The following is a 21,320-nucleotide window of genomic DNA, read 5'->3' on the forward strand; positions in this document are numbered from 1 at the left end:
GCCGGGGTTGAGGGTGGTTTCAGAGGCTCTGGCTTTGCCTTCTCCACCATGGTGGTCCTCACTCCACAGGTCAGGGAAACAGAGGATCCTGGCAGCTGCTCAGGGCCTGCAACCTGCCATGGACCTGCAGACCAGGGCGTCACCATAGGTTGGGTCCATAAACCCACTGGATGGCCACAGGCCGGGACCCCATCGGTCACTTGGCATCCCCAGGCCCCCACGCTGACTGGGGGGACCCCATCGGTCACTTGGCATCCCCAGGCCCCCACGCTGACTGGGGGGACCCCATCGGTCACTTGGCATCCCCAGGCCCCCATGCTGACTGGGGGCTGCCATGACATGTTGGGTCCCTGGGTGGCATCAGACCCGAGATCCCAAAGCCCTTCCTGTTGCGGGCGTCCTTTCTCCAGGACAGAGCTACTCTGAAGATGCAGCCACAGTGGCTCTGGGGGAGTCTTCATCACACCTGCACGCGGTCCATCACACCTGTGTGGTCCATCACACCTGCACGCAGTCCATCATGCCTGCGCGGTCCATCACGCCTGTGTGGGGTTCATCCCACCTGTGTGGGGTCCATCACACCTGTGTGTGGTGCTGCAGGGCCCTTCTCCGAGGAGACCAAGGCTCTCCTCCAACCAATGGTCATGGTTGAGTTCTGGAAATGAGAGCAGGAGTCACAGTTTCCCACTGTGCCTGCAGGTCCCAGCCTTCTCCTCCCGGTGCTTGTTTATTTCTGGTTATTCAAGTCCAGTGCCTACCTCAGTTGGTTGTTCATCGCCCACTCCAGGGACATGGTGGCCTATGAGCCACAGATCGTGAGGGTCAGGCACCCCGGCTGCCCCCATTGCTGCACCGACACCCACCTTGCCTCCAGCGGTTGGCGCAGCCACACGGCTCCCATGGCAGGACCCGGGGCAGCACTTCCTCCTGCTAACATCGTCCACGCAGCTCAGCTCTCCAGGAGCTTCTCAGCAGCTCTGCTTTGTGCTAGCACCATGCTGGCCGCTCCACTATGGCTGTGTCCTCCGGGCCCTCCTGGGACCGAGGCAGGTGGTAGTCCCTGTGGTCTCATCCAGTGGACCCACCCGCTCAGCTGGGCACTGCCCAGCACTTTGGGAGGTTGAGATGGGAGGATTTCTTGAGCTCAGGACTTCAACACCAGCCCAGGAGACATAAGGAAACCCCATCTCTGCAAAAGAAAAATAGCCAGGTGTGGTGGTGTGCACCTGTGGTCCCAGCTACTTGGGAGGCTGAGGTGGGAGGATTGCTTGAGCCCAGGAATTCAAGGCTGTAGTGAGCTGTGACTGCACCACTGCACTCAGCCTGGGCAATAGAATGAGACCTGTCTCAAAAAAAAATTAAAAATAAATAAATCAATAAATAAACATTAAACCCACCCCCAGGCCCCAGACCCTGCCTGAGTCTGTTTGGCTGCCATAGACGCGTGGCTGATCAACAGCAGGGTTGATTTCTCACTGTTTTGGAGGCCACAGGTCTGAGATGAGGGTGCCGGCGTGTTGGGGCCTGATGAGGGCCCTCTTCCGGGTGTAGACGCCAACTTCTCGTTGTGTCCTTATGTGGCAGAAAGCGGACAAAGCCTTCTCAGGCCTCTTACAGGGGCACTAATCCCACCAGGAGGCTCCACCCCCCTCACCTCATCACCTCCCAGAGGCCCCACCTCCTAATACCATCACCCCTGGGGGCAGGATTTCAACTTAGGAATTTTGGGGCAACAGAGACATTCAGCCCACGGCAGACCCCTTCCTCACACTCCTCCAAGTGAATCAAGACTAGCTCTGCCTTGCTGGGACGTGAAATCCACCATCATAAATGGGTGCTTCCATGTCCCCCCTGATCTAGCATCCTCCACACCATCCCAGCCGCGACCGCCCATTCTCACCAGAGCCCGTCAGCCAGGACCGTCGCCTGGCTGCTTGGACTGTGACGCGAGCCATCGCCTCCCTGCTTGGACCGTGCAGAGGCTCCAGCTTTCATCCTGGCTGCAGGGAGAGAAGGCAGGGCAGACCCTGAAGGGGACAAGTGTCACGAGTAATGTCCCCCAGGAGACACTGAAGTCCTAGCCCCTGGCACCTGTGAGTGGGACCTTACTTGGAAATAGGGCCTTTGAAGACGTAAGTTAGATGGAGTCCTATTAGATTAGGGTGAGCCCTAAATCCGAACACTGTGTCCCTCTAGAGGAGGAGAACACAGAGGCAGGGGGAAGAGGGCTGGGTGGGGACAGACAGAGATCGAGGTGACATGCCTACAAGCCAAGGATTGCCAGCACCAGGGTAGAGGCCTGAGACAGACCTTCCCACACAGCCGCAGAAACACCAGCACTGCCCACACCTTGGTTTTGGACTTCGGGCCTCCAGAGCCATGAGATGATACATTTCTGTTGCCTGAAGTCACCCAGTTTGTGGCCATTTGTCATGGCAGCCCCAGGAAACTGATACAACCATCATCTTGCAAGATAAGTGCCCCAGATGAGATATTTTCAGGGACTCCAGACAGAAGCCTCCTCTGCTGTCCTCTAACAAGTGAGGTGGAATTTGGGAGCACAGTATTCACAGGTGAATTCACCCACAATGACCCCAAACCAGGCCTCAGTTCTGATGCCTTCCCTGCCAGGGCCCTGTGCTTGGCATAGCCGACCTCCATGGCTGCACAGAGGTCTTCTCTGGGATCTGTCGCTCTTCTGCTCAGCTATTGGGCCTGATTTTCAGCACCGTCTGCTTTCTCGCTATAGGAGAAGAGGGTTTCTTTCAATGCCACCGTAGAGAACTTTCTGGCTTCTGCAGCATTCCCCGAAGCCATAGTTGCTTCCAGACGCAGCCCTGGTGAGGGCTCTGCAGGCTGGCTTTCAGCTCCCCACCTTCCACCTCGTTGTCACTGTCCTGGTGAGAGACTCAATGCCACAACCCCACCCTGGAATTGGCCACCTCCAGGACCAACCGTCTTAGCTTGGGTGATCCCCAAAGGAGAGCCTGATATGAGACTTCAGTGCATGTAGTTATTTAGGGAGGTGATCCCAGGAGGTAGGAGTTAGAGGTGGGGTGAGACAGGGAGGAGGAAACGCCTGTGTTATTGCAGAAGCTGCATTGGGGGTCAGCTCTACTGTCCCCAAGTCCCTGGGACCTTCTGAGGAGCCACAGGAATGCACCTCAGAGTTGTCCTTCTAAGCACAGGATGCTGGGGCGTGGAGGAGCCAATTCCCAGCCCCGTTGCCTGAGGTGTGTCCCTGGGGAGAACTCCCCACCTTTCAGGCTGCCCTGCACTTGGGCTGAGCAGTTTGCTGTGGAGTCAGAGAAAGTCCCAAGGCAGAACAGCCGCAGAGACAGGAGGACCTTTCGGATGAGACTTGCCTGGCAACGGCCCATCCCGGCTGCTCTGAAACTACAGGCAAGCAGAGGGCATATGGCCCAGGCCACCAAAAACATCTACGGCCAAGAGCCGGGGATTTCCCACAAAATAAACCTAACCATTTTGGGGGAAATGAATGCGCTTTTCTCTCTTGCCTTGCTGAGTACGGGGCTTCTCTGGTGTCAGTGACTAGGAGTGCGGGCTCTGAAGTGAGCCAGCTATGCCGACCGGATATGTAACCCTGGGCAAGGCATTTACCCCCCTGAGCCCCAACATCTTCATCCCTTAAATGGGGACGGGGACGATCCTCCCCTTACTGGGTTATTTTGAACCTCAACAGGTATCATTAGCCAGACGCAGCTAGGCCAGTGCCTGGCAGTCCTACGGCTCAGTCATTTGCTTTTATTAGTTAGTCCAAGGCAGCCGTCTGCCTGGCTTGGGCGGAGATTAGCCTTGTCAGAGAAGAAATGCAAAAAGAACACTCGTTACTATTTAGGTTTAGACACTGGAAATAGGATTTGTAGCAAGACAATAGCCTTGCAATCTGGACTATTGTGTTAAAAATTCCCTCACTGGCTGGGCGCGGTGGCTCAAGTCTGTAATCCCAACACTTTGGAAGCTGAGGCGGGGGGATCACCTGAGGTCAGGAGTTTGAGACCAGCCTGGCCAACATAATGAAACACTGTATCTACTGAAAATACAAAAATTAGCTAGGTATGGTGGCAGGCACCTGTAATCCCAGCTACTCCAGAGGCTGAGGCACGAGAATCACTTGAACCCAGGAGGTGGAGGTTGCAGTGAAACCCCACTTCCTAACCTCTCTCAGCTCCCAGTTACTACACCCCCAGGGCGATCAGAGGAGATTCGGTCATCGGCCTGCTCCTCAGCGTGCTGTGAATCAGGCTTTCTGCCCTGCAGAGAAGGATTTGACCTAAGAAATGGGGAAAACCCACCTCTCCAGGCCCGGGAGAGTTGGAAGGAGGAGGCAGGCGCAGGGTGGAGGAAGAGGACTCCTGCTGGCTCCCGACACTCAGTAACTTCACTGGCCACTGTGGCCACACGGGGTGGGTTGTCTGGTCTGCCATCTTGAGCTTCTAGAGTGGCTGGCTTGCATCCACTGAGGCTGAGGGAGACACCCTAGGAGAGAAGCTGGGGGCTCCACCGAGGCCAAGGAGCTGAATGGCAAGTTGGGGGCAAGGGGCCTGGTCGGGCACTTGCTGTCACCAGATCAAATCTTTTGTTTCTGGCCGGGCACACTGGCTCATGCCTGTAATCCCCGCACTTTGGGAGGCCGAGGCAGGTGGATCACCTGAGGTCAGGAGTTTGAGACCAGCCTGGCCAACATGGCGAAACCCTGTCTCTACTAAAAATACAAAAATTAGGCAGGTATAGTGGCATGCGCCTGTAATCCCAGCTACTCAGGAGGCTGAGGCTGGAGAATTGCTTAAAACTCTGAAATGGAGGCCAGGTGTGGTGGCTCACGCCTGTAATCCTAGCTCTTTGGGAGGCTGAGGTGGGCGGATCATGAGGTTAGGAGATCGAGACCATCCTGGCTAACACAGTGAAACTCTGTCTCTACTAAAAATAAAAAATTAGCCGGGCATGGTGGCGGCCGCCTGTAGTCCCAGCTACTCGGGAGGTTTAGGTGGGAGAATGGTGTGAACCCGGGAGGCAGAGCTTGCAGTGAGCCGAGATCACACCACTGCACTCCAGCCTGGGCGACAGAGCAAGACTCTGTCTCAAAATAGAACAAAACAAAACAAAAATCTTTTGTCTCTGACCCAGGAGTCTTGTGTCTTCTGACAGCATCTGTGAGACTGGGGCCAGCTAATTTGTCCAAGCTCAGGTCCTTCACAGCTCTAGACAGTTCCTCCACGACAATGTCAGCTGTGGGTGCAAACAGAATGCCCACATCCCAGCTGCCCAACCTCACCTAGCAAGCCTCAGGGCAGCCACTCTATAGCCAGGCACAGCGAGGGTCTGGGGCACTTTGGGATCTGAGGAGCCCCGCAAGCCTCGTCTTTGACTTCACAGGAGCCCCTTTCCCTCCACACCCAGCTGTCATCTCGTGGGGGACATAAGACAGATTAGCGACTGCCGAAGACTGAGGAGAACTTAAGCACTCATTCGAATGTTGGGTTCAGATGACTTGAGCTATTGCTTTTCCTGCTGCCTGGTACATGGGGGCTCGAGAAGGGATAAGAGATGGAGGAGAGGTAAACGGCGACACTCTCTTCCCCTCCCAGTTCCATGGCCTCTAACCATGCTCCCCACCCCAAGCGTCCCTGGGAAGGGCTGAGGACTGCCCTGCTGGGGGCCTGAACTGGATCCCGTGGGACTTGTTCTGGCCTTGGGGTTCCCCACTTTCCCAGCCGTGAAGCAGAGACTGGGCTGGCTGGAGCCGGCTCACAGCCCCAAGTGGGCCTGGGACCCAGTGGTAGCAGATACACCCTGGGTATCCAAGCGATGCTCAGGTCAGAAGATCCACAAGGACACAGCTCGGCCACGAGCAAACACAGCTCTGCCACGCTGAGACAGTGTTGCAACAAGCCGGGCGTTGGGTCTGACAGCTCGAGCCCGTGAATCGCCCCCACCCACTTGTGGTACAGTTCCCACCTCACACAGGAGGAGCCCGAGGCCCAGCAAAGTGAGGGGACGAGCTCCTGACCACAGAGTGGGAAGGGTTCCAGTCTAGCTGGCTCAGATACCCCCCTACATCCTCAGCCCTGCATTAGGGAGCTTCCCCTAGCGCCCCCCAGGCCAGTCCACGCCCTGGTCAGCAGAAGCCTCTGCACCAGGAGAGCCCCACCCCATTGCCCCTGCAGGGCACTCCTGACCTGGTGACAAGGTCCCCGGGGTCTGCTCCCTGCACAAGGGGCTGGGACACTTTCCAAAGACAGAGACGCTGGTACACGGTGCAGCTGCAAGGACTTGGGTCTGGAGCCTCCCTGCTGGGCAGGGCCCTGTCCATCCAGCTGCTGGCTTGTTGGGGCCAGTGCCACCTGGGAGGGGGCATGGCTCCTTCTGTCCTAGCAGAGCTGCTTTTGCCTGGGGAGCACTACAGTGTGTGCCTGCACGTGTGCATGCATGCTGTCTGTGCATGTGTGTGCTGTGTGTGTGCATGTGTGTGCATGCATGCTGTGTGTGCATGTGTGTGGGCGTGTGCATAAGTGTGCCTGTGTGTGGGTGTGTGCGTGTATGCTGTGTCTGCATGTGTGCATGTGTGCCATCTGCATGTGTGTGGATGTGTGCCATCTGCGTGTGTGTGTGTGTTTGTGTGTGTGTGTATGTGAGACTCTCAATCTCAAAGGCCACAGAGCCACCAGCCAAGCAGAGTTCACAGTGGACCCCATTCTGCTGCTGGCCACAGCCCCCCACCTTGGCCCTGGCAGCTGATGTGGAGGAAGGCTTCTGGTTCACAGTGGTGCTTGCATTTCCACGTCTTTCCTTGAGATAGATCCCAGAAGTGAAGCTGTGAGACCAGATGACGTGGACATCTTTGAGGCTCTGAGTGCCTTCTGTCAGCCTGCTTTCTAGAAGACGGTCCCAGGGCCGGGCACGGTGGCTCACGCCTGTAATCCCAGCACTTTGGGAGGCTGACGCGGGCAGATCACAAGATCAGGAGATCGAGACCATCCTGGCTAACATGGTGAAACCCCGTCTCTACTAAAAATACAAAAAATTAGCTGGGTGTGGTGGCGGGCGCCTGTAGTCCCAGCTACTCGGGAGGCTGAGACAGGAGAATGGCATGAACCCGGGAGGCGGAGCTTGCAGTGAGCCGAGATCGCCCCACTGCACTCCAGCCTGGGCGACAGAGCGAGACTCCATCTCAAAAAAAAAAAAAAAAAAAAAAAGAAGATGGTCCCAGACGCAGCTCCCACGGTGGGTGGCATCCGAGTCCCCTTCTCTCACATCCTTGCCAGGCCGGGAGATCCAAAGGACGAGCCCTTGGCTGTGTCTTCCCAGGGCAGTCTGGCCTTTGAGCGGTTCATAAACACCAGGCCTCAGGGCTCCAGGGGCCCTGGCACTCAGTCTTTGAATAAAAGGCAAAGACAACTGGGGAGGGCGGGGCTCACAGGGACCTTGGCTGACAGGTCCTCCAGCCTGGTGTGGACGGGAGTGGCAGGACGGGGAGGAGCTCAGGGGAGGGTTCAGAGGCCTTTCCTGGCCCCTGCTTCAGCATCTCCCCGTGATGGTTTGAGTGAACCGAGATTTTGTCTGTTTTCACGAGGCTAAAATAGCGTGTGGAGCAGTCCCATGAACAGTTCCCAGCATTGCCATGGTGACCGTGGTTCTGGTGCTGCCTCCTCAGACGCACCAGCCTCGCGCCGCGTCTGAAATAACCCCAGGGAGCCGAGGGCGGTGGAGGTGGGGGCCCACCACCCAGCAGCAACTGTTGGACCCCGCAGCGCAGGAGTGGCAGGGCCCGTCTGCAGTGCAGGAGTGGCAGGGCGTGTCCGCGGTGCTGACCGGTTGGTCTTGGGCCCTGGCGCTGTGTCCCCGCACAGGTCTCGGGAGAGGTTCTCCACTCTGAGGGCGTGTCCAGTCCAGAGAAGGGGACGCGCGGCGTGTTCCCCAGTGGTCTGGACCCTGGGGTCCCGCCCCATCCCTGCCCTGCCCAGGCCCTGCCCCCTGCTGGTGTGTGTCCCTGGACCAGGCATGGAGCGACCCCGGCCCTGGTGTCTCATCCACAGAATAGGGTCATGATTCTCACGTCCTAGGGATGGGCTGAGGGTCCCAGAGGCGATGTCGGACACAGACGGTCCTCCAGGGGAAGGCACCATTGAGCGGGGTGGGGGCCTGAAGGGAGGCTGTGCCTTCTGGTGAGACTCAGCCAGGGAAGCTGTGTGCAGAGCTCAGCCTGGCAGTGTCCAGCCCTTCCCTGCCTCCCCTGGGTGCCCTCCCAGCTGCTCTATCTTCCAGGCCAGCCTCCTCTTTCCTCCCCTGGCCTCTCCAGACCCTGGACACAGCAACCCCACCTCCTCCTCACTGTGTTGGCTCTGCTGGGAGTGGCAGTGCCCAGCCCCTCTGACAGTATGTGCGCGCGCACACACACACACTCAGAGAGCTCCACACACACACAGGTACACACAGAGCTACAGACACACAGGTACACATAGAGAGTTACACACAGGTACACACAGAGAGCTCCACACACTGGTACACACAGAACTACAGACACACACACAGGTACACACAGAGAGCTCCACACACACACAGGTACACAGAGCTACACACACACACAGGTACACACAGAACTACAAACACACACAGGTACACACAGAACTACAGACACACACACAGATACACACAGAAAGCTATACACACACACACACACACACATACACACGGCCCCCCACACATGGGTACCTGTGGAGAACTACACACATATATGCAGAGACTGCATTCGTGAGGTCCCATCTGAATATTTAATTTTTAAGTTATTATTATTATTTTTTTAGAGGCTGGGCTTCACTCTGTCGCCCAGGCTAGAGTGCAGTGGTGCCACATCTCAGCTCACTGCAGCCTCCACCTCCTGGGCTCAGGTGATCCTCTCACCTCAGCCTCCTGAGCAGCTGGGACCACAAGCACACACCACCGCACCCAGCTAATTCTTAAACTTGTTGTAGAGACGGGGTTTCACCATGTTGCCCAGGCTTGTCTCCAACTCCAGGCCTCAAGCGATGCGCCCGCCTCGGTCTTCCCAAGTGCTGGGAATGCAGGCGTGAGCCACCGCGCCCGGCCCAATCCGCAGATTTTAAGCGGGGACGACTTAAAAACAGGATTGCTGAGCTGCGACGAGGGGGGCTGCAAGGGGAAGGACACGCGGCCCCCGGGGCTGAGGGCGGCCCGGAAGGATGGACTCCGAGGCGGGGCTGAAAAGGGGGCAGCCGCGCCAAGCAGGAAGCGCCCCGGGGTGGGGCGGGAGGCCCGGAGGCCCCGGAGCCAGAGCGGGCAGGGCCGGCGCTGCGCGGTCGCCGAGGGACCCACGTGCGGGACGAGCTCCCCGGGCCCCCACGCGCCGCCAGCCCGAGCCCCGTCTCCCCGCGCGTCCCTCCTGCGCCCCCTCCTGGGCAAGCTCCGCATTGCGCGCGGCCGCCAGCAGCCCGGGACCCGCGCAGCTCCCCGAGGCCAGGACAGCCAGCAGGGAAGTGCCAGGCCTGAAACGCCGCCGGAGGAATGGTACCCAGAAGCTCGGGCGCTGGAGGGCGGCTGTGGAGTGAGGGGCACACGGGCGCGTGGAGGCAGTTAGCGACAGACACACGTGCGCCGGCACATGCACACAGAGGCGGGCACACACAGACACGTGGGCACAGAAAGGCACGCAGGCTGGGCCGGTGGCTCATGCCTGTAATCTCTGCACTTTGGGAGGCTGAGGCACCAGGATGGCTTGAGCCCAGGAGTTTTAAGGTCAGCCTGGGAAACGTAGTCCATGTCTACAAAAAAATACAAAAATTAGCTGGGCGCGGTGGTACGGGCCCGTGGTCCCAGCTACTCAAGAGGCTGAGGTGGGAGGATCACCTGAGCCCAGGAGGTCCAGGCTGCAGCGAGCCGAGATATGGCACCACTGCACTCCAGCCTGGGTGACACAGTGACACCCTGCCTAAAAAAAAAAAAAAAGCAGGAAAAAAAGACACACGCACAGACATCTATGCATGCATAGACACACATACGTCAACACAGACACACAAGCACAGACATATCTATACACACACGTGGACACACATACACAGACACATGTATGCATTCACACAATACACACAGACACAAACACATATAGACTCAGATAAGCACACAGGCACTCACACCCCACACCCTGTCTGAGGCTCCCCTGACCCTCCTCGCTGGGGCAGCCTGGCCTCTTCACACTCCCTGCACCCTTCACTCACAGAGCCCTTGCTCCCTGGGGCCACAGAGCTGCCCCACTGCACACATCATCAGTCCCGGGGCCAGCCTCTCCCCCGGGGACCTGGTCAGCCCGTCTCAGCCATTCTGCACTCCTGTGGTTCTCTGACAGTGGCCCGTCTCCAGCAGCGTCCCACCAGGAGACCCCGCCTGGCCAGCTCACTGCTGTATTCCTGGCTCAACTCCTGGCCCTCCGTCCAGTAGGCCCTCAACCAACGTCCATCAAATGAACCCATGCAGCTGACATTGTCTCTTGAGCCAGTTTTTCCAAATCCCATGATCCCTGACACAGAAAGGAAACATCTGGCCAGTCCCTCCCACGGCTGCTGTGCCCAGAGCCTGTGAGCAAACGCCTGGCCCTTCCTGTGACGGTGGTCCTCGCAGGACCCCACAGGGCAGCCTCACATCTGGCAGGAAGACCCACCCGGGCCCCTTGGGCTCTGTGAGATGCCTGCTCCTGTCGGGCACCTTTCTGGGCAGTCCCAAGCACTAAGCCAGCACAAATGCAGTTTAAGAGGCTGATGAGGGAGGCCTCCTCCTGGGGGTGTGGTGATGGGGACCCCACGGGCCACAGCCAACCCCTCCCAGACGTCCGATGAATCACACTGAGTGTAAACTGCCTCTCTTCTAAAAGGTCTCAACATCACTCGACAGTATCATCAAAGGACTCTTCCTAAGGAAAATCACAGGGTAGGCCCGGCAGCCACACAGAGCCACCTTGGCGGGGTCAGGAGCTGCGGCTCCCAGGTGCCCCAGCCCTGCTGGGAGGCCACCCTCAGCCAGACCCTGCAGCCACACTGCCCTCTGCCGGTCAGCACCCTACCCCAAGCCCCAGCGGTCACCTAGCACCTCCACCTGCGGTCCCAGGCACCGGGAGAGGGAAGGCTGCCTGCACTGGGAGAGGGAAGGCTGTCCGCTTCACGGCCGGGGTTCTTGCTGCTTAGCTGGGGTTTTGGGAAAAGGCTTCACCTTGCCCTATACCGTTCTGTGTTGCTTGAGTTTTATAAAAAGTCAGTGTGACTTTCATAACTTGTTTTTTTCATTTAAAAAATAATAGGTGTTTATGATTATGAAAGTATATGAGAACTTTATGAAAAATTTGGGAGCTACAGAAACTGCTGAGGTGGAAAAGCCTGGCCTTTAGCCACCCAGAGGCCTCTCTCGGAGCCTGCCCTGCCCACTCCAAGGGTCACCTCCACACCCCACCCGCCCCGGAGGACCCAGGGTGAGTCCTTGGAAGCTTCCAGGGCTGTGCCTTCTCGGTGTGCTGGGCTCGATGGGACATGACTCTGTCCCCACCCACTAGGGGTCTTAGGAGGCTGCCTGGCTCCAGCACTCTTGAGGGGTCCTTACCCGAGTCACTCACTCATTCCCCGTGTGCCAGGTGCCTGGAGAAGCTGTGGGGACCCGGCCTAACAGGGCCCAGCCCTCAGCCGGGATCTGGATGGGAGTCGTTGGCAGATTCCAGAGCAAACACCCTGTATCTGTCGCCGGGCGACACAGTGACACCACCGCCAGCCAGTGAGCCTATCCGTGTCTCAGGAAGCGCCCTCTGCCCTCAGGGCCCTCTCAGGGGCACAGGCTCAGGGCAGAGGACCTAGGAACCTCCCTGTGACCTGCCCTGCCTGCCCAGAGGCGGGTCCAGGGCCTCCCAGGCCTTTGTTTTGCAGATCTCATTAGCGGAGACCTCTGCCTCCTGGAGGGGAGGCCAGAGCAGGTACTGGGGGAGGTTTTGGGGACGTTTTGGGCAGCCCCTGTGCCCGCAGTCCTCTGCTAGAGCCTTTCGGAACCTGTGTCTGTCCCGACCCCCCCTCCACCGGCGGCATCAGGGCTGAACAAAGTCTGACACTGGGGTTGACCATCCACTGACGTTGCCCTCTCCCTCCCAACCCCAGAGAGAATAGAGCCCCGCCCCCCACCTTCCCTCGCTGGGACTGGGGCACTGCCACGGCCCTGGGACTGGCTTCCAGGACGGAGGCTCCCGCCTGGCAGCACAGATCTCCCCAGGGAGGCCAGTGCCGAGGGCCTGACCCAGCAGGGGCGTCCTTGGTTAGAAAGGGTCCTCCGGGGCCTTGGGTGGGGCAGGCCCAGGGAGAGATGTCCAGTGACAGGGAAGGACACAACCGAGGGTCCGTCCTGCCTGCTGTGGGCAGTGGTATCAAGGACCGGGCCTTGCTGCCTCCTTGGATCAGAACGCCAGCCAGGAAGTCCTGTGGGTGCCCAGTGGCCCCTTCCAGGCACCGCCCCACTAAGGTGAAACCCTGCTCTTTCCTGCCCATCAGGAAGCGCCCAGGCCATGTTGCCAGGCCAGACTCCAGACAAGGCCACAGCCCTGGCCATGGGGCCTGGAGTGGGGGAGCTGGGCCGACGGGTGCCTGAATCCAGGGCTGCTGCAGGTGCAGGTTCCCACTCATCACTGTACCCTGCCAGGCTGCCCCCTCACCCTCTACTCTCTGCCCCCCTTCATGCCCAGCTGATGGGCATGGGGCTTTGTGCCTGTGCGAGGGATAGAGGGGGTTGCCCCATGGAGATGGGGGTGAGGAGTAGATTGCTGAAATGGGCATTAGGTATGCTAGAGACTTCAAGGAAGTGTGGGTGCCAGTCCAGCAGATCTCTGCAGGCAGGTGCTCCTGGAAGAGGGAGTGGCTGTGCAAAGAGGGAGTGGCCGTGCAAAGACGGAGGCCGGGGCAGCAAAGAGGCCTCGAGGCCGGGGCAGAGGAGCTGGCCTTCCCTCCAGGAGTGATGGGAACCACTGGGGGGACTTCGATGACCCAGAAAGATGGAGTGGGGGAAGACGTCAGCTGAGAGGCTCATTAGGAGGATGCCTGGGGCTGGGTGAGTGTTGGTTGGGAGCTCAGGGGGCCCATCTGAGCTGGGGATGCAAAGCGGGCCAAAGGCTGAGGCTGGGGCTCCACAGTTTTAAAAGCTGCAGACCAGGAGGGCGAGGGATGGGAGATTTAGGGAGCTGGAACCCGGGGCCAGGGATGTGTGAGCCTTCCCAGGAGGGGTCTGATACCAAAGGCCAAGTTAAGAAAATGTCTGAGGCCGGGCACAGTGGCTCACGCCTGTAATCCCAGCACTTTGGGAAGCCAAGGCAGGTGGATCACCTGAGGTCAGGAGTTCGAGACCAGCCTGGCCAATATGGAAAAACCCCGTCTCTACTAAAAATACAAAAATCAGCTGGGCATGGTGGTGGACACCTGTAATCCCAGCTACTTGGGAGACTGAGGCAGGAGAATGGTTTGAACCCAGGAGGCAGAAGTTGCAGTGAGCCGACATCATGCCATTGCACTCAGCCTGGGCAGCAAGAGCGAAACTCCATCTCAAAAAAAAGAAAAAGAAAGAAAAAAAGAGAAAACGTCTGAGAACCGACGGCTTGTATTTAAAACGTGTGAGTGGGTGGTGGCAGGAGAGGTAGACAGGGAGCAGGGCCGGCTTGGCGGAAGCTTTGCTGTAGAGAGGGGCAGAGATGGCTCGGTGGGTGGAGGGAGGGGCAAACGGTGTTTAAGAAGAAAAAACGACAGCTTCTGCGTAGGAGAGGGGCCTCCTGTCCATCTCCAGGGAGAACATGGGTTCTGTGGCCACAGGTCTCCCCAGGGCCTGGCATCAAGGAGGCGCCAGGCACGACCTGCGGGATGAAAGCACGTGGCTGAAGTCCTGGTGGCTGTGTCTGGGTGAGGGGTGTGAGGGCGTGGCCTGAGCAGGTCCACTCTCAGGGGAGAGGGGCCGAGGCCAGGAACTGGGTCTGGGTGTCCACCTGGTGCCTGGGTGAGGTCCTGCAGGCAGCAGGTCTGGGCTTCAGTGGATGCAGCCAGTAAGGGATGGGCTGATCAGGGAAAACCGTATTTTCAGGGGAGGAGCCCAGGAGGCAGGGAGCTGGGCGGCGGTGGAGGGGCCTGGAGGGCGATTGTCCAGATCAAGCCCCTCGAGTAAGGCCCGAGAGGCTGTGGCTTCAGAAATGAAGGTCATGGGCGACTCGGGCCAATGCCGCGTCCTTGACCTGGGCGAAGTGAGCGGTTGCACTCACGAGTGTGGACGGCCCTTCCCTACAGGGGACCTTGGATTCGCTGGGGGCGGAGTGGGGGCTGGGGCCCAGAGAACCCGAGTCCGGACGCTCCCGTCCGTGACCCTGGCCGGGTTCTCCGCTCCTCGCAGCTTCAGTCCGCAAGTGTGAGATGTCAGGGGACCCCTGGACGGCGGGGCCCTCGGGCTGGCAGCGCGCGCCGCAGGAGTTTCGATTCGGAGGGTCTGGGCGAAGGCCGAGAACTCGCGTTTCCAGCGAGTTCCCGGGGGCGCCGCTCCGTCCCAGAGGCCGGGGCCCCTCCGGTTGCCGGGCAGAGCCGCGCCGCGCGCGGTCCCATTGGCGCAGGTGCGCCGCGCCCCGCCCAACAGGTAGCCCCGCCCGACAGGTAGCCCCGCCCGCGCCTCGCCATTGGGCCGCGGCCGGGTGTCCCCCGAGGATTGGCCCAGGTGGCGGCCCCGCCTCGCCCTCATTGGCCGCAGGTGCCACCGCCCGCCCCGGGACCGCCCGCCCCGCGGATTGGCCGCTGGCTCCACCTCGGTCCGCCATGTTCGGACACCGCCCCCCGCCCCCGCCGGACGGTCCCGCCCCGCGCGCCCCCCGCTCCCGCCCCGCGCGCCGCCGGAGTTCCGCGGAGTTGACCGGGTCGGCGCCGTCGGTCCTGAGCGCTGCCTTCCGCGTTCCGCCGCGGCCCCACCTGGAGCCCCCGCCCCGCGCCATGGCCGGAGCTCCCGGGGCGCAGCGCTGACGGCGGCGGGGGGAGCGCGCCATGCCCAGCAGGACCGGCCCCAAGATGGAAGGGAGCGGCGGCCGCGTCCGCCTCAAGGCGCATTACGGGGGGTGAGCGGCGGAGAGGGCGGGGAGCGGCGCGGGTGAGGCAGGGAGGGCGGGGAGGGCTCAGCCGTCGGGGCTCCTGCGCGAGAGGGAGAGAGGGAAGGGGCGGCGAGGTCGCTGCGGGCCCGGGGCTGTCGCGGGAGGTCCTCGGTCCCCGCCCGTGAGCGTCACCCGCGGACACGTCGTGGACAGCGCGGGCTCCTTCCCCGGGACCGGGTTTCCCTGGGGTCGGCCCCGCGCCGCGAGCTCCTCGGCCCGGTCATTGTGGTAGACGTTTTCGCTGGAAAGTTGGGCGGGGACGTTCCGGCCGCAAACCTGTAAGGACTGAAAGTTTTCATCAAGTTGTGAAAACTCCTGGCGGGTTTCTTAAAATCAGCGTTTCCTAAACGTTCTCCACGTTTACCCGGTCGGGGGTCTCGCTTTAGCCAAAATCCGGAGACCCGGGGCGCGGGCGCTGTGGCTCCAATGCAGCCCCCGGCAGGGCTCGGGGCGGTCGGGCGGGGACAGGGGTTTCTGGAGGAGACGGTGGGGCCGAGACTGACCCTGGGGTTTGCGTCGCACCCGCCCCCCGGAGGCCCTTGCCTGGCTGTGGGAGGGGGCGCGGTCAGGTGCTGGAGCGGAGGGGTCCTGGACTCTTGGCCGCCGCCTCGGGGCAGCGCTGCTGGGGGTGGCGGGGGCTGCACCAGGTGGCCGGGCTCACAGGCACAGCGGAGGGGTCGCTGCCCCCCGAAGTGTGGGCGGTGGGGAGGGGAGGACCCGTGGGTTTGTTCTTCCACCTGTGCGCGTCTCCAGGAGCCCCGAACTGGGACCTCCGCTCCCGCGAGGGTGGCTGCTGCTGCAGAGAGGGAGGGGAGCAGAATGCGGGCTCCGGACTTGCACTGGCTGGTCCTTGGGATCTCGAAAAGCTGCTCCTGCCCCGGTGCGTCCTCAGCTACAGCGTGGGCAACCTGAGCCCCAGAGGCAGGGACGGCCGGCAGGGTTAGGCGGGTGACAACTTCCCCGGGCCACGTCCTCTCAGGACAGTGCCCCGGGGGTCTCTATGGTGCCCTGCGAGTCTGAGCGGGTTCAGCTTCCTGCGAACCTTGTCTTGGGGTCTCGGGTCAGCCATCTGGGGCTGCTTGGCCCCGGGTTTGTTGAGGAGGCTCAATTGTCTCTTCTTTGGGAAGGTTGGGGCCTCTGCAGCTCCCCTGTGGCAAGCACCTGGAACCTTCGGGGTGCAGTGGCCCGGGTTTGGTGCCAGAACCAGAAGAAAGGGATTTCTGGGGGACTGACCGTCCAGCCCTACCTGAAGAGGTAGGGCAGCCATGTCTTTTGGCCTGGAGGTCAGCAGGTTAAAACTTGGTATGGTTGACGTTCTGGCTATTGGACTTGTCCAGGGACCTGGGCTTCCTGTCTCCTTGCCATTCTGGAGCCACCACACTGGGCAACAGGTGATGGTGCGGAGCTCAGGGGAGTCCTGCGAGAGGGAGGTCCACACCCGAGGGGCTGCAGGGGCCCAGACCCTCCTGCATTCCGGCGTCCAATTCCTGGGACCAAGGCTCGGAGGCAATGCCACTGGAGTTCTGGGCCGCCCCGTCCTCCCTCTGCCTTGCTTTGGCCCCTGGGAGCACTTTGGTGGTGGGGCGGGTGTAATTCCACCCGGTGACTCTGGTTTCCCAGGCTGGAGAGACCAGGCTCCCACCCCTTCCTCTTCCCTCCCTTCCCGGACTCTCTCCCCTCTCTCCCCACCCCTTCCTCTTCCTCCCTCCTTCCCTGTTGTTTTCCCTCCTCTTCCCGCTCTCCCCTCTCTCCCTTCCCTGCCACACCTCTTCCTTCACCTTCCTCCCCCTTCTAGGGCACGTCTCCCCTCTGGCTCTTCCCTGCTCCTACCATTCCTTCTCTCCTCTCTCCCCTCCCAGGTCCTCCTCCTCTCTGCTGCAGAGTGTGAAGTACCCTTCTCCCCGTTCTGGCTCCTCGTCCCTCTGGGCACCCGGTGCCTCTCTGAGGGGACTGGCTGTGGGGTGGGACACTCAGGCCTTAGGGCAATGACACAGTTCCAGAAAGCGGCTGCCAGGATGAGTACTGGGTTATTGAAAGCCCTAGAAACTCTGTCCCTGGGGTGAGACGCTGCTGTCCGTGGGGGTAGCTGAGCGTGGACACGTGGAAGACTAGTCTTTAGAAAAAGGAAGAGCACTTCAGTCACCCCCATGGGGCATGGCCACCCCGTCATCCTTGCCTGTCCTCCCAGGGCCCTCTGAGCACACTTGAGATCCAATCCTCGCCACCCCACCCCGCCCCCTGTGGGCCTGAGGGGTCCCCAGGCACCTGTGTTTTCAGGGAGTCCCAGGTGGCCTGGGCCAGACTCCCACGCTGAGTCTCAGATGCCCGCTCTTCTAGGGCCACAAACACTGGTGCTGGCTCTTCCCTCTTTCAGCTCAGACTTTTTTTTTTTTTTGAGTCTCGCTGTGTTGCCCAGGCTGCAGTGGTGTGGTCTCGGCCCACTGTATCCTTCACCTCCGAGGTTCAAGCAATTCTCCTGCTTCAGCCTCCCTAGTATCTAGGACTACAGACGCCCGCCACCACGCCCGGTTAACTTTTGTAGTTTTAGTAGAGATGAGGTTTCACTTTGTTGGCCAGGCTGGTCTCGAACTTCTGACCTCGTGATCCGCCCGCCTTGGCCTCCCAAAGCGCTGGGATGAAAGGCGTGAGTCACCGCGCCTGGCCCAGCTCAGACAACGTTTGTGTTCAGGGAGCTTCTGTGTGCAAAGCCCAGGGCTTGGTGCTGAGGCCAACAGAGACGCAGGAGTCTCTCCCGGGCGGCCCAGCTGGCTGCTGGGTGCTGAGTCCTGGACGCCCCTGCTGAAGGGCACAGGGCAGCTGTTTGATTCAGGATTGGGATAGGGTTGGAGGTGGTGGCCTGACACTTCCCAAGCCCTGGGGTTTTACTGGAGCCACCCACCTGGCCTCTAGATTGGCCGGAAACTGGCTTCCACTGGAGGCAGGACTGTAGGGGTAGGGGCGTGGGGCAGGAAGAGGTCAAAGGTGAAGTGATGGCCGACTCCCACTCTGGAGTTCCTGGTGGTCAGACTTTTGGACTCCAGGTCAGGCAGCAGGCGTGGATGTCAGCTTGGGGCGACCCCAGGGTGATGGGTGTGTGACCCCCCTCCATTCCTTACTTTCCTAATCTGCCATGATGCTGTGGGCTGTGGCGAAGACCAGCCAGGTTGGTTCCTGTGGGGTGCTTGGGCACTGGGGGCAGGTGCTGGGTGGCCAGTTCCAGCAGGAAGGGGTGGGTAGCTGGGGCGTCTGTCCCCCAGGCCCAGGTGGCCCAGGGTGACTGGGTGAGGCCTGTGGGGCAGGTGGGCCCTGGGCTGCTGTGTCAGGGCCGCGGCTGTGGACCGATCCTGTGTTCTGTTTGCACTGGAGTTCTTGTCTGGGATGAGAACTTTGTTTCTTGAAACTTGTCTGATGAATTCAGATAACCTTGATGGGGAGCCAGCAGTGTCAGCGAAGAGCAGAGCCTGTATCTCTGGTTGGGACATCTCACACCCCTTCAGGCTTCTTTTTATAGGCCCTGTGCTCTTGCCCCGCGCTCTTGTGGGTGTCAGAAAGCCGTAGATTTTTCTGAAAATTCAGTGTGTTCACAAGGGTGTGATTCCCGCTCTGAGTTTCAGGAAACACCAGCTGGGCCCTGTGGTGGTCCCTCCCCTCCACGCAGGGTGAGACCAGCTCTTGCTCAGTGCAGGAGGTGAGGGGGGACCTCGGGTCCCTATCAGCAGGGAAGTGCCAGCCTTCAAAGGGTGCCTGGGAGTCCGTGAGCTTCCCCAGCCCCTGGAGTTCAGGTCCTGTCTGGGGCTGAAAAGATAAAACACACTGACTCTGTGTGACTCGGTTTTAAAAAAAAAAAAATCTGCCGGGGCTTCTGCCGTGGCTGCAGCAACGGACCCAGTGCCCACTCCGGGGTCTAAAGAGTGGCCTTTCATTATGGAATTATTTAATCCCCGCCACTTCACCGCTGGCACCGTCGAGGTCTGGGGGCAGGTCTGACTGGTTTCCTTTACCTTAGTGAAGCCGGCGGCCTGCACCGACCCGGCTCGCGCCCATCCCGGGGTCACCCACATTTGGGTGAACTTGAACGAGTGCCCGACCAGGTAACGTTGCCGGACCTCCCACAAGAGGGCACTTTCTTTTCTCCCATTTTGTCCTCATTCTTTCCAGCCAGGTAGGTCGCGCTTTTTTCTCTGTGCAAGGAAGTTGATGGTGGTCATTTTTTTTTTTTTTTTTTTAATACGGAGTCTCTCTCTGTCGCCCAGGCTGGACTGCAGTGGCGCGATCTCGGCTCGCTGCAAGCTCCGCCTCCCGGGTTCACGCCATTCTCTTGCCTCAGCCTCCCGAGTAGCTGGGACTACAGGCGCCCGCCACCGCGCCTGGCTAATTTTTTGTATTTTTAGTAGAGACGGGGTTTCACCGTGTTAGCCAGGATGGTCTCGATCTCCTGACCTCGTGATCCACCCGCCTCGGCCTCCCAAAGTGCTGGGATGACAGGTGTCAGGCACTGTGCTTGGCAATGGTGGCCATTTTTTAAACTATGGTTATGGTTAATGGTTCTATTTTGTGTGTGGGAGGGGGGAGGGGGTGGGGCTGTCATATTGTCTTTGGGGAAAGTTTCATTTATCTAATCAATGATTTGGTTAGTTGGTAATCATTTTTTAATTTGATTCAAATATGCCCCACGGTAACAGATGCCCATGTCCCCTCTGCCCCAGGGACATCTTCATCACCAGCGTGGACGCCGCCACGACCTTCGAGGAGCTCTGTGAGGAAGTGAGAGACATGTGTCGTCTGCACCAGCAGCACCCGCTCACCCTCAAGTGGGTGGACAGCGAAGGTAGCCCTTGTCCCATGTTGGCCAGAATCCTCAGCCTCAGGGGACTTCGCCAGGGCAGCCTCTGTGTGCGGAGTGTGCTCAGCCAATTCTGTGGGGAGACTTAAAGCTGTGGAATTAAACTTGTTGGCGCCAACTTTTCCCCAGTGGGGATGGTGGGAAAGAGGTTGGCCACAGATGCTTATCAAGGACCTGGGCCCAGATGCCCCTAGGAAGGGCTCTGGTCTTGAACTGCCTGCAGGGGGTCTCCCTGCCCCACCCTGGGCAGGTCCTCACCTCTTCCTCTGACCTCCTTTCTCATGTCCTGGCCTTTTTCGGTAGGTGCTTCTGAAAGGATGGGCTCTTCATATTCTAGGGACCACGGGGAGGGCACAAGCAGCCAGGGCCTGCCGTGTCCACCTCCTGTCTCTTAGACACATCCTGAAAAACAAGGGGATTGGGAGACGTCCAGAGAGACCCCTTTCTCCCAGGGACTGGCGGGCAGCTCTTGGCCAAGGACACGGCCGTGCGGGTGGAGCCTGATAGCGCCCCCGTTGGGTTGGGTACAGCCCTGCAGGGCCTGGGTTCTGTACACCTCCATGTCCCTTTCCAGCCATAGAGGGCAAGGAGCTCTCCCTCCGCCCAGGACTGACCTCCGGAGAGTGTCCTCAGCCCCGCTCACTGCTTAGCCCTCCAAGTGGTGCCCAGGGCTGCAGGTGTACTGACTTCCCTTCCGGGGTGGCTCTGACGCTGCACCGGGGGCCAGGTGACTCCCTAGTGTGGACGGCCGTCCTTGGACCTCCCGACCCTGCCAGGAGGTGGCCAGTCTGAGCATCGGGACTTTGCCCCCCACCAGACCCTTGTCTGGTGTGCTGAGCGGGCTCGTCACAGCCCCCTTTGCCTCGGGCCTTCGGCGACGTCAGCACCGTCTCCTGCCCCACCCAGGTGACCCTTGCACGGTGTCCTCCCAGATGGAGCTGGAAGAGGCTTTCCGCCTGGCCCGTCAGTGCAGGGATGAAGGCCTCATCATTCATGGTTAGTGGCGGGGTCTGTGGTGGGCAGCTCTGGGGGGCTGTTCCTGGCTGTGGGTGTCTGCCGACTAGCTGGGGGATTTAAAATGGTTTAAAATCCTATGATGCCAGAGAATTTAGGGATGTCTAATATAATGCCATTTGGGTTTTTTTCTTTGACTTTTTTTTTTTTTTTTTGAGACGGAGTCTTGCTCTGTTGCCCAGGCTGGAGTGCAGTGGCACAATCTCAGCTCACTGCAAGCTCCGCCTCCTGGGTTCATGCCATTCTCCTGCCTCAGCCTCCCGAGTAGCTGGGACTACAGGCGCCCGCCACCACGCCCGG

General features: G+C 59.9%; 1 protein-coding gene and 2 long non-coding RNA genes across 15 annotated transcripts in view, besides 6 other annotated features; 1 reads left to right on the forward strand and 2 right to left on the reverse strand.

Annotated features, from left to right (window-relative positions):
• Positions 1 to 194: 194 nt before the first annotated feature.
• LOC105378590 (uncharacterized) lies at positions 195 to 11,876 on the reverse strand. Of its 3 annotated transcripts, none has more exons than XR_001737845.3 (4): positions 11,623 to 11,876; positions 1,901 to 2,000; positions 1,477 to 1,572; positions 195 to 1,189 (listed from the first exon to the last, which is right to left on the reverse strand). It is a non-coding gene; the product is annotated as an uncharacterized LOC105378590 (long non-coding RNA). The 3 variants fall into 3 exon arrangements; XR_007065357.1 differs by having other exon boundaries at positions 195 to 655; positions 864 to 1,572; XR_007065356.1 differs by having other exon boundaries at positions 195 to 1,572.
• Positions 7,610 to 8,239: an enhancer, noted in NCBI's record as "H3K4me1 hESC enhancer chr1:1974620-1975249 (GRCh37/hg19 assembly coordinates)". NCBI's record gives its function as "activates a minimal SCP1, AML or CMV promoter by ChIP-STARR-seq in naive H9 embryonic stem cells {active_cell/tissue: H9 hESC(naive)}" and the evidence as "EXISTENCE:reporter gene assay evidence [ECO:0000049][PMID:30033119]".
• Positions 9,309 to 9,358: a silencer, noted in NCBI's record as "silent region_101". NCBI's record gives its function as "represses an Ori minimal core promoter by ATAC-STARR-seq in GM12878 lymphoblastoid cells {active_cell/tissue: GM12878}" and the evidence as "EXISTENCE:reporter gene assay evidence [ECO:0000049][PMID:35858748]".
• Positions 9,419 to 9,498: a silencer, noted in NCBI's record as "silent region_102". NCBI's record gives its function as "represses an Ori minimal core promoter by ATAC-STARR-seq in GM12878 lymphoblastoid cells {active_cell/tissue: GM12878}" and the evidence as "EXISTENCE:reporter gene assay evidence [ECO:0000049][PMID:35858748]".
• Positions 10,975 to 11,728: an enhancer, noted in NCBI's record as "H3K4me1 hESC enhancer chr1:1977985-1978738 (GRCh37/hg19 assembly coordinates)". NCBI's record gives its function as "activates a minimal SCP1, AML or CMV promoter by ChIP-STARR-seq in naive H9 embryonic stem cells {active_cell/tissue: H9 hESC(naive)}" and the evidence as "EXISTENCE:reporter gene assay evidence [ECO:0000049][PMID:30033119]".
• Positions 11,729 to 12,482: an enhancer, noted in NCBI's record as "H3K27ac-H3K4me1 hESC enhancer chr1:1978739-1979492 (GRCh37/hg19 assembly coordinates)". NCBI's record gives its function as "activates a minimal SCP1, AML or CMV promoter by ChIP-STARR-seq in naive H9 embryonic stem cells {active_cell/tissue: H9 hESC(naive)}" and the evidence as "EXISTENCE:reporter gene assay evidence [ECO:0000049][PMID:30033119]".
• Positions 12,933 to 21,320, forward strand: part of PRKCZ (protein kinase C zeta) — a 136,892-nt gene continuing 128,504 nt past the window's right edge. For 8 of the 11 annotated variants that reach the window (XR_007061965.1, XR_007061966.1, XM_017001790.2 and 5 more), the window contains exons 1-3: positions 14,840 to 15,130; positions 19,870 to 19,991; positions 20,913 to 21,002. Coding sequence is in view for 9 of the 11 variants with exons in the window: in XM_017001790.2 (XP_016857279.1) it covers positions 15,060 to 15,130; positions 19,870 to 19,991; positions 20,913 to 21,002 (283 nt within the window). In the remaining 2 variants the exon portion in view is untranslated. Of the gene's footprint in view, positions 13,105 to 14,839; positions 15,131 to 15,184; positions 15,442 to 19,869; positions 19,992 to 20,912; positions 21,003 to 21,320 lie in introns of those variants that run through there. The other 3 variants (XM_047425262.1, XM_047425260.1, XM_047425255.1) reach the window with 2 other exon arrangements.
• On the reverse strand, positions 13,630 to 14,499 carry PRKCZ-DT (PRKCZ divergent transcript). The gene is made up of 3 exons (NR_135509.1): positions 14,297 to 14,499; positions 14,027 to 14,095; positions 13,630 to 13,897 (listed from the first exon to the last, which is right to left on the reverse strand). It is a non-coding gene; the product is annotated as a PRKCZ divergent transcript (long non-coding RNA).
• Positions 14,418 to 15,027: a silencer, noted in NCBI's record as "silent region_103". NCBI's record gives its function as "represses an Ori minimal core promoter by ATAC-STARR-seq in GM12878 lymphoblastoid cells {active_cell/tissue: GM12878}" and the evidence as "EXISTENCE:reporter gene assay evidence [ECO:0000049][PMID:35858748]".

The sequence above is a fragment of the Homo sapiens genome, chromosome 1 (genome assembly GCF_000001405.40).
Source record: "Homo sapiens chromosome 1, GRCh38.p14 Primary Assembly".
Lineage (NCBI taxonomy): Eukaryota > Metazoa > Chordata > Mammalia > Primates > Hominidae > Homo > Homo sapiens.